Raw genomic sequence first — 11,308 nt, forward strand, 5'->3', positions numbered from 1 at the left:
GTACCAGAACTTCTCTTTCTGCCAGTTCTTTGTCTGACTCTTCCACCCCCAAATCTATCAGACAAGCAGAAGACAAGGAAAACTGATGGATGCAATCCACAGGAGTCACCCTCCCAGACAGCAAGCAGGGCAGGGACAGGGGGAGATGGATCTGGAGGGGGCAAATAACAGCTCTTCCAAATATCTAGCTTTTGACTTTCTCAAATCTCAAGGAAAACAGCAGATGGCCTTACATACAAATGATAAATTGAAAATGTATCTATATCAGAAAAATAAAAATGGCCAGAGGGTCTGCAGCCACATTCAGAGGACCACTAAGGTTATTCAAAATCACCATGTGAGAAGCCAACACAGCTTGGCTGGCCTCAGGGGTAAGCTGATCTCAGGGAACACTAATGCTTACCCAATGCATAAGAAGGAAATGCTGCAGCCTATTTTACTCTAACCAAGTTATGCGGTTGGAGAAATGTGCTTTAGGGAAAAGATGAAACAGCTCCACCCAACACCGAGAGCAGGTGACACCTGGTAGTCCTTCACATTTGAATTTCCAGCTTAGCGTCTGTTTTTAAATGAATTATGAGCTTGCTCCCACTGAGACCTGTCTGCTATGGAAACAGAGGCATGCTCCCATCTGTGGAAAGGTGATATTTTAAAGACTAGCCTTTCACTAAGCAAATTTCTTAATAGTAGAGCCATTTGACTACTAGGTCAACTTCCCCAGACAGCTGCTCAACTACATCAACAGCATCGAGGAGCAGTGCCTTTAAAAAGCAGAAGCATATTGGATCTGGAACTGCTAATGGATCTTTAAGGAGAGAAATGCAAAGGAATTAAGGCACATCACTCTTTGGCATGTTTGTGGCTGTTTTTGTTTCATTTCCAGCATATAAAAGAGTAGGTTATGATTATCCCAAAGTGACTTTATAATTAATATTGTTCTTAAATAATATATTCATAAAATGTAAGTATGTTTGTATGAATAATGTCAAAAATTCTAGAAATGCAGAAAGCAAGAAATAATTCTAGAAAAAAGGCCTTGGAGAGGAATCTACTGCTCATAAAATTTGAGTAAATTATTTGGTTCATACAAGAGGCTTTTTTTTTTCACATCACTTTTCCCATACTCCAGCACTTAGTATGATATTGTTGCACAATCAAAAAGTTGCTATACAAGTTCAGGTAAAACTAATTTTAAAGAACTCGGTAGCTATATGTTATATCATGGCAGACTTTCTACAGTAACTTTACTGGTTCCCTATAAATAGAATATTAATTGATGATGAAGAAAATAAAGCAGTAACCATACCAGAGTGGGAATGGCAGTATTGTCTTAAACTTCTGTTAATAATTGTTTTATTACAATGAATTACAATGACCATGGAAGGTTCATCTGAATACCAAATTCACTTCTGACTAGAGCTACTGGAGTCAGAAACCATATGAACTCATAATGATGAGATATTTAAAAATCTTTGTGTAAAACATGTAGCCTGGAAAACCATGAGAAGCAATGTTTAACTGTCTTTCTGGTCTGCAAATACATACTCACATACTTAAAAGTGGGAATCTTTAAGAGCTGGGTATAAAGGAATATTTTATAAGCTACTTTTCAATATTTTTGCATTTTTATGTTAAAGGTTACTTTAATACAAGAGTAAAATTCATTTTAAGAAATGGAACTAGGGTAAAGTAGATAAAGCGTAACCAGGAAATTTGTTTTACATCAACAAAGCATAGTGGAGAATTTCATATGTTTTGAAGAGGAGAGTGTATGGTGGGTATTAGAGGAAGAAGTTTGTTTTATTTATTTTATTGAGACACTTGAAAAATTCCTTGCTGTCTAATTCGCCTTACATTGAAGAGCCAGTATGTGGTTACCTAATACACTGTTAAGTGAAATTTGGTAGTCATCCATTTAATTTGATCACAAACCAAAACATTTCAGGAAATATCACATTGGACATGCATTTTCTAGAGTAAAATTTGTATTTTTCAATCAATTGATTTTTGGTTAGTTTCCCCTTAGTAGTCAAATTCTACAATATATTCACTTTACATTGGATAAGATAGAAACAAAACACGTTTCATGGATTTAAAACATTACCCTTCAATGGTTTTTCACACTTTCTGTATATATGTAATATACATAATATATAATCCAGACTTATGCAGAGCAGTTAGCCCCTTCCTAACTCTGCTCTCTTTATTGTCTTAGAGTTAACTCACAGCACTCCCTGAATATTCATGATCAGCTTATGGAACTGAGTGCTCCAGGTTGCTTCCATAGCCCCCTACCTCCATGGCTTTGCGCCAAGATTTCCTCAATTTGAAATGCCCTTCTCTTTTTCTCAGTCATGTAAACTCTTTCTCATCTTGAAGGGTAAGCATATCCTCCTCTGTAAAGCTTTCCTTGTCACACCAGGCAAAAGTGAGTCATTCTTTCCGAGATACCACAACACTTTGTAAACATCACAGCATTATCTAAACTATATTGCAATTATTTGTTGACATGCCCGACTCCACCGCTAAGTTGTGAGCTAGCTTATTCTCATTTATACCTGCCCCACTATTAGCATGGTGGCACACAATAATCTTTAATAATCTTTGTTTAATGAATGAATGATTATATTAATGGCTGAATTTTAGAGTTGGCCTATTGAGAATCAATAGTTTGTTTTATATACACAGGAAACAATAATGAATTCAAAAGTTTATGTATCAGTCATTTGTATTAGGGCAATATTAAGAACAAACAACAGGGACTAGTGCTTTCTTGATCCTGGCATATGTGCCAATTCCTAATCTCTTGCATTTGCATGTGTACAGACATGGCCTTTTTTTTCTAGCTGCCTCTGCTAAACATTAAGTACATTAACAGGCATGGTAGAGGCAGATAAGATTAACAAAGCGGGGAACAGAAGTTCATAGGTTTATTCTGGTAGGAAATACCATAGAAATAATCCAGACCCCACTGCAAACCTCACATTCAGCAGGATAATTGAATCTTCACATTCCTGTTTTAGAATCACATTGAGCCAACACAAAGCTTGATGTACCACTTTCTCTAGGCCAGTAGAGGGCAGCACACACTTCATTAACCAGGGAAGCAAGGTTGTGCTAGTCACACTTCAGCAGCCGGAGCTTGGAATAAGTGTTCTGGCAACAGAGATCCCAGGATTCTACCACTTCAACCAAAAGTCCCCTCGAAAATGCTTATTCTTTTAAAAATTTTGTGTTAACATCATTTTACCGGCTTCCAGCACACTTTTCAAACTGTGATTAGATATTCGCCTTGAGGGACAGTGCAGCAGAGTGGAAAGACCACATAGGCTTTAGGACCAGACAGAATAGGTTTGTACATCTAGAATATACTACTACTAGCTGTGTGCCTTGGTCAAGTTACTTAATCTTTCCAGTCCTCCTTGTTCTTACTTTTAAAACACAGATAATAAGATCTACCTCATGGGTTAATGTAAGATTGAATAAGAACATTTGCATCAGTTTGATGTTTTATTATTGTCTTGCCCCTTGTCTGTTTCTTCCCATGTGGGGCAAACAAACAATATCTACAAATGTCTGTCATGCACATTTTGTCTTGCAACATGTCATGGCAGAACCAAAAAGTGCCTATCCAGAACCATCCTTGAATCAATCTGCCAAGTGAGCCCCATATTTCTGCCTGGAGCTCACACTGGAAGCAGGCAGAGGACCACTCAAGAGGCAGAGGGGAGGATGGGCCTGGCCCCTGTTACAACCTCCCAGAGCCTCTATATGTGTCTAGGGTAGTGGCTGGCAGGCTGGGGAAACATGGGTCAGAGGAGTGGCTGGGGCTTTTCAGAGATCAGGAGGGCTCCTAAAATGGGAAAGAAGATTAATTTATGCAAGGTCCTGTCCTGGGCCAATTTCACATACCCACTACGTGTCAAATCTGGAATTTGAAAGTGTCTTAGTTCCTTCTGGCTTAGATAACAGCCAGATAACAGAGTACTATAAAGTGGGTGGCTTATAAACAATAGAAATTTATTTCTCATGGTTCTAGAGTCTGGGAAGTCCAAGATCAAGGTGCTGACAGATTCAGTGGTTAGTAAGGACCTACTCTTCTGGTTCATAGACAGCCATCTTTTTGCTGGGTCTTCACATAGCAGAGGGGCAAGGGAATTCTCTGAATTTCATTCATGAGGGCTCTGTCCTCATAACCTAAACACTTCTTAAAGGCCCTGCTTCCAAATATCATCACATTGCAGATTAGGTTTCAACATATGAATTTCGGGGGGACACAAACACTCAGTATATAGCAGAAGATGAGCTAAGAATCAAAGGTGTCATAGCCAGAAATAATCCAGGAGCACCAATGAAGTCCGGGAGGCCCAGCAAAGAGTAGTTCTGGGCACAAGGTGTGGAGGGTTTAGACAACTGCAGCAAAGAGAGGCCTTAGCATTGAATCAACAAGCAGAAGCTACTGAGGGCCTTGGGGTTTCTGCAGTTAAGCTGTAAGAAACTAGGCAAAGAAATGGCAGTTTACAGGCCAGGTGTGATGGCTCAAGCCTATAATCCCAACAGCTTGTGAGGTCAAGGGAGGCTGATAACTTGAGCCCAGGAATTTGAGATCACCCTGGAAAACGTGGTGAAACCCCATCTCTACAAACAAACAAAGAAACAAAGAATACAAAAATTAGCCAGGCATAGTGACATGCACCTGTAGTTCCAGCTACTGGGGAGGCTGACGTGGGAGAATCCCTTCAGCCCATGAGGTCAAACCTCCAGTGAGCCAAGACTGCACCACTGCCCTCAAAGCCTGGGTGACAGAATGAGACCCTATTTCAAAAAAAAAAAAAAAAAGAAAGAAAGAAAAAGAAAAAAGAAAGAAAGAAAGAAAAGAAAAAGGAAAAGAAATAGAGAAAGAGCAGTTTATTACTGCACTATTTCTCATAACCTCTTCAATTTAACTTCTTTAGCTTAACAATGGACAATACCTATTACTTTATTTCTTTGAACTTGTTTCTTCATCTGTACAATATGGGCCATAAAACTTCAGGGATATCTTGCGAAGGTGAGATAAGATAGCACTGCTGCAGTTTCGAGGACCTGGTAGGAACTAAAGAGTTAGAATTCTTGCCTTTCACATATACATATGTAAATATACATATTTATATCGCTCACAATGCTTTTTGATGTTGTTTATCTTACTCTATTTTCCACTTTTAAAAAAGAATATTTGATCACTAGATTTAACATAATATTTTATAGATATGAAATCAAATATTAATAAAAGTATACTCTAATTTCTCAATCTTGTATAAGTCTCACAGATTTTATTACTAAAAATGTTTTGGTTTACGTTGTTTTTGAGCTAGAGTCCAACTTTATTTCTAGTGTTTCAATACAGACATGCCTAGAATTGGGAATTTGTCTTTTAATCTGAAAAATTAATATCATATGAATGGATAATTGTAATAATGGATTTTCTAGAATAAGTTCCACTTGGTGAAGATTATTACTTTTAATGTACTGGTGCTGAATCCTGTTCACTGTTATTTTATTTAAGGTTTGTGCATGCATAGTCAAAATTAAGATTGCTTAGGTGTTTCTCTTTTTGTGTGCCATCTTTGTCCAAGTTTGGGATCAATGTGATACTTTACCATGAAATAACAGAGTTTTTCAAGAAAATAGTTCACATACTTATATTGTGAATATGTAAATGGATGGGAGGAAATGATTCTGGGTGAGAGACATTTAGGTAGTGATAGGGAATAGCACAAAATCCATAGACTATTTTACCTACGCAACAAATTCTAGGAGTGATATGAGTAAGTAGCTCATGTAAATGTTACCGGGCAGGTATCCTGCCATGGAGAAAGAAAGGTTGAAACCCACTGGTCCAGTTAATCTGTCAGGTTCATTCCATTCTATTTGTAATAAGAACAAATTCTCAGCTATAAACTCCCCCACCTCTCAGACAGTGCATGACCATCACTAGCATTTATGAGAGTGAGTGAGAGCGAGGCAAACACTGTTCTAATGATCTCTGTGGGATCAGCTGGCAGGTACATGTTGATCAGAGGCCAGGATCAAATAGTGACATTGATTTGGTCACTAAGTTCCTTTTGGTTTTCCAGTCCACCTCATTTAAACCTCTTCTGTTTTTTGGGTGTTTAATTTTCCTTGTGGAGTCACTGCCCTTGATAAAAGTTTAATTACAGGGCTGGGCTCAGTGGCTCACGCCTGTAATCCCAACACTTTAGGAGGCTGAGGCAGGTGGATCACTTGAGGTCAGGAGTTCATGACCAGCCTGACCAACATGGTGAAACTCCGTCTCTACTGAAAATACAGAATTAGCCCGGTGTGGTGGCAGGCGCCTGTAGTCTCAGCTACTTGGGAGGCTGAGGCAGGAGAATTGCTTGAACCGGGGAGGCGGAGGTTGCAGTGAGCCAATATCGTGCCATTGCATTCCAGCCTGGTGACAGAGTGAGTCTCTGTGTCAGAAAAAAACAAAAACAAAAACAAAAACAAAAACCAGTTTAATTACTATTACTGGTTCTTTGTGAACAAAGTATGATGTAAAATGCCATGTGCTGCCCTCTGCAGGTTATTGAAATAAATGGCCACTGTCAGTCATTCTGAGTAGTTTTGTCAGAAATTTTGATGAGCTCCCTATGTTTTGTTTTGCTTTTTATCTTGCTTACATAGTTCTATATGCACAATGTCAGCATTTTGTCCACTCAGTATATGTTTATTGTTCCTAGTAGATACCAAGTACTCAACTAGGTCTAAGGAAATCATTGACAAATAAAAGCAGATAAATTACATTCTAACACTGTATTTTGAAGTTAAATATGTAATGTTTCTAAGATGAAAAATACTATGAAGTAAGACAAGGAGATACAAAATGATGAGGAGTGTTACTTACATGAAGTTGCCATGAAAGACTTCTTTGATAAACTGATATTTGAGGATAGACCTGAAAGAAGTGAAGGAAAAATAATAAGGATATAAGAAAAAAGGTTTCTGAGTAGAGAGAAAAAGTACAAAGGCCCTAAACCACAACATACTTGGCATGTTCTAGATACAGCAAGGGAGCCAGTGTGGTCAGAGCTGAGGGATGGAGGATGATAACAGATGATCATGCTCTGAGAGGCATAGAGAAGCAAGACCATAGAAGGCCTTTGGGCCATGGTAAGAATTTGGGGTTTACTGTCATATGAAAAGGCATTGGGGATTTTGAACAGAGAAATGATATGTTCTCACATATGTTTAAAAGTATCACTCTGGCCCTTATGTGAGAAAAGACCAAAGGGGACAAAGATGGAAGTAGAGAGACAAGATAGCAGGCATTGCAATGGTATAAATGGGATAATAACTTGGCTTCGTTTAGCAAAGTAGCAGCGAGGTGGGTTAAAAGTTGTCTTGTTTGGTATGAGATGTGAGCAAATTAAAAATCAGGAAGACTACACAGCAGGTTGGGCAGGTTAAATTTGAGGCAGAGCTCACACTTAAACATGTCATTGGCCTACTAGACATCCAAGTGAAATATTAAGCAGATAATTGCACAAATATGTCTGGAGTTTGGGAATAAAGTTGAGGCCAGAGTTATAAATATGGGAATCATGAACTTACATAGGGGATTTATTCCGATGGGAATGGATGAAATTAACAAAAAAGTGAGAGTAGGAAGAGAAGACTTGGAGGCTTGAACCCTCAGGCGTTCAAATATTTGGAATCTGGAAGATAAGGTGGAACCAGTAGAGAATGTTGGGAAGGAAAGAGGGGAATCAAAAGAAAACAGTAGTTCAGAATCAAAGTGAAGAAAGTGTTTCAAAAATGGAGACACTGGCTTTGTTGGGCAATGCTAATACAGTACTATGAGAACCAAAATAATTTTGAACTTACAACATAAAAATTGTACTTGATGTTGACAGAAGTTTTGGTGAATTGTTGGAAATGAAAAACTGATTAGAGTGAAATCGAGAGAGAATTGGAGTAGAGGCGATAAGACATCTTGAATACAGGAACTTCTTTGAGCACTGCTGAAAGGGGAATACAAAATGGAGTGCTACCTCTTGAGGAAGAAGGAACAAAGTCTCCTTTTTTAAAAAACTGAGGTATTTTAACATGATTATATGGGGAAGGAAATTATCCAGTAGAAAGAGAATAATTTTTGACAGGTGAGAGAAGGGATGCTTGTGAGAGTGTTATCACTGGGTAGCCAAGAATGGAGGTACGTATGTTCCCAGCAAAGGGACTGAGTAGTGAATGTAAAGTTCAATTCAACCAGAAAGATGGTAAGCTATGCACACAAATGGAAGCAGGTGGATAGATACGGTGATGGAAGAGTAGCTTCTTACTCAATTTTTCCAGGGAGTGAGAAGCAAGATAATCAGCTAAGATTGAAGAGCAAAGAGAAATTGGAAGTTTGATAGCACCTGGTCAGTATTCGAGGGGTGGTATGTGAAAGAGGATTGAGTTTTGTTCTCAAGACCAGTTATGTAGAGCACACAAGAACTCGAGCCATGAAACTGGCATACTTTTATAAACAACAGAAACAATGTATTCACTTTTTTTCACTCATGGATTCACCACTTATTTCTTAATGCACATTTATTGAGACCCTGTGGTCGATCCTAGAAAAATTACAACTCTAAGTCATAGTCACCAAGATCATAGAGGAGCCTATAATCTAGTAGGGGAGACAGACGAGGAAAAAAATTACCCTTCTCTTCATTTATGTAGGATACATGTCATCTTTTCCGTGACCATCCTTACTAGATATCTTGAGACATTATCCACTTCAAATATTCTGTTTCGTTCTACTAATAAGCACTGTCAATTGTAATGCTACATGTTTCTATTCTTGCTTCAGAAAATGTGATGCCCATCACAATTACTGGGGCATGTTCAAAATGCTAAGAAAACATAGAATAAGGAATGATTCATTCTAGCTAGAGAGTAGAGATTCATTTAAGCAAAGTCTTGAAGGGTGAGTTAAAAAGACAACTGCATGCCGTATACCAGAAATGCATGCCCTATACCAGATACCAGATACCATATACCAGAAAGAAAATGTGTAAAATCCTAGAGGCATGAATCTGGACAGATGCGCTGAGAATAACTTGCTAATGGAGACTCTTCAAATAAGTTGAAATCATTCACTGCATTGTTTTTGCTTTTGTTTTTAAGCAGAAAAAAAAAATAGCATAGTTGGATGTTGTCTTGGGTAGACCAGTTAGGTGGCCACATGGGAGGCAGATGGAAGACAAGACCAGGAAGGTGTCAGATGTTAATAATTAAAAGGCTGATGAGGACCTGCCCTGGGACAAGGACAGTGGTGGTACAAGGAACGAATAGATTAAAGATACATTTTTTTCGAGAGCACAGTTGACAAGCCTTGCTGAAAGACCTGTTGAGGGGGATAAAGGAGCACAGGGCATCCAAAGACTTCCCAATGTTTTCTACATTTCCAGACTGGGTGGGAAGTGATAGAGCTAACTGAAATAGGAATTACAGGAGATATGATAAGTCTCTTTTCTGTTTGGTGTTTTTTTTTTTTTAGAGATAATGAGATTTGAATTTTGGCATTATGTTTGATTTGTAGATACCTATTGGACCATGGAAATAAGAACAATGCTTAGGAGACAAGCAATGGAAATTATCACTGGGTAAGTGCTAATTAAAACCTTAGAGGATAATGAACTCATTGAGCATTTATTTCTGCAATGAGACAAGAAGAAGACTGAAGGTTGACTTGGAGAGGGAATACTAGTATAATTAAGAGGCAAGTCAAGATGAGCCTGTGAAAGAAGGACAAGATCAACTTGTCAAATTCTCCATGGAAGCCGGAAGCCAGGCTTCAACTCAAGCCTGAAGCCACGTGTCAAACAATGGTGACTTTAGGGGGCACGGCCTCAGTTGGCACCATGCATGAAAGAGAACGGAGACTTAACAACAAGGGTGAGGACGATGCATGTGTAAAAATAAAAGGGGAGTAAAAAGCATTATGCATCCCAAGTTATAGGAATAATGCTTAGAAGTATCAGTCCAAGGTAGGGAAGGAAATGGATGAGGCTAGAGAGACTTTATACTCGAATTCAAATATAGTTATTTGAATTCCTGCTCAGATCTAGCTTATATATCACAATAGCTGTTCCACTCACAGGGAAATAAGATGATGGGAGAGGAGGTGGTAGAATGAAGGCCAGTGATATGTCACTTAAAAGATTTTGGTCACTTTGTTAAGGATGATATGTTCTAAAATGTAAAATGTATCCTATCACCATATGAACAGACACTTCTCAAAAGAAGACATTCATGCAGCCAACACCATATGAAAAAAAGCTCATCATTACTGGTCATTAGGGAAATACAAATCAAAACCACAATAAGATACCATCTCACACCAGTTAGAGTGGCGATTATTGAAGTCAGGAGACAACAAATGCTGGTGAGGATGTGGAGAAATAGGAATGCTTTTACACTGCTGGTGGGAGTGTAAATTAATTCAACCATTATGGAAGACAGTGTGGCAATTCCTCAAAAATCTAGAACCAGGAATACCATTTGACCCAGCAATCCCATTACTGGGTATATACCCAAAGGATTATAAATCATTCTACTATAAAGACACATGCACACGTATGTTTATTGCAGCACTATTTACAATAGCACAGTCTTGGAAGCAACCCAAATGCCCATCAATGATAGGCTGGATAAAGAAAATGTGGCACATGTAAGTTGAGAGCCACAGAGAAATATTGACTAACAGAACAAAATTTTTAAATGTCTGGAATACTGTGCAGCCATAAAAAAGGATGAGTTCATGTCATTTGCAGGGACATGGATGAAGCTGGAAGCCATCACTCTCAGCAAACTAACACAGGAACAGAAAACCTAACATTGCCTGTTTTCACTCATAAGTGAGAGTTGAACAATGAGAACACATGGACACAGGGCGGGGAACATCACACACCTAGGCCTTTCGGGGGATGGGGGGCAAGGCAAGGGAGAGCATTAGGCCGAATACCTAATGCGTGTGGGGCTTAAAACCTAGAAGATGGGTTGGTAGGTGCAGCAAACCACTATGGCACATGTATACCTATGTAACAAACCTGCATATTCTGCACATGTATCCCAGAACTTAAAGTAAAATAATAATTTTAAAAAAGTATCCTATCACCCTTAACCATGCTTCCTCTGAAAACCTAGCAAACAAATAAACCCCAAATATACAGCTTTACCTAAATCCCTGTGCTTCGTGTTGGTATAAGAAAAGAAGACAACAAGTACAAGAAGGAATATTGCTACTCCTCAATTTCTC

The 11,308-nt window shown here is 38.6% G+C and overlaps 1 annotated feature.

Moving 5' to 3' along the window:
- Positions 2,922 to 3,216: an enhancer, noted in NCBI's record as "tiled region #9527; K562 Activating DNase unmatched - State 12:CtcfO". NCBI's record gives its function as "activates a minimal TATA promoter and a strong SV40 promoter by Sharpr-MPRA in K562 cells {active_cell/tissue: K562}" and the evidence as "EXISTENCE:reporter gene assay evidence [ECO:0000049][PMID:27701403]".

Source organism: Homo sapiens, chromosome 18, assembly GCF_000001405.40.
Source record: "Homo sapiens chromosome 18, GRCh38.p14 Primary Assembly".
Classification (NCBI taxonomy): domain Eukaryota; kingdom Metazoa; phylum Chordata; class Mammalia; order Primates; family Hominidae; genus Homo; species Homo sapiens.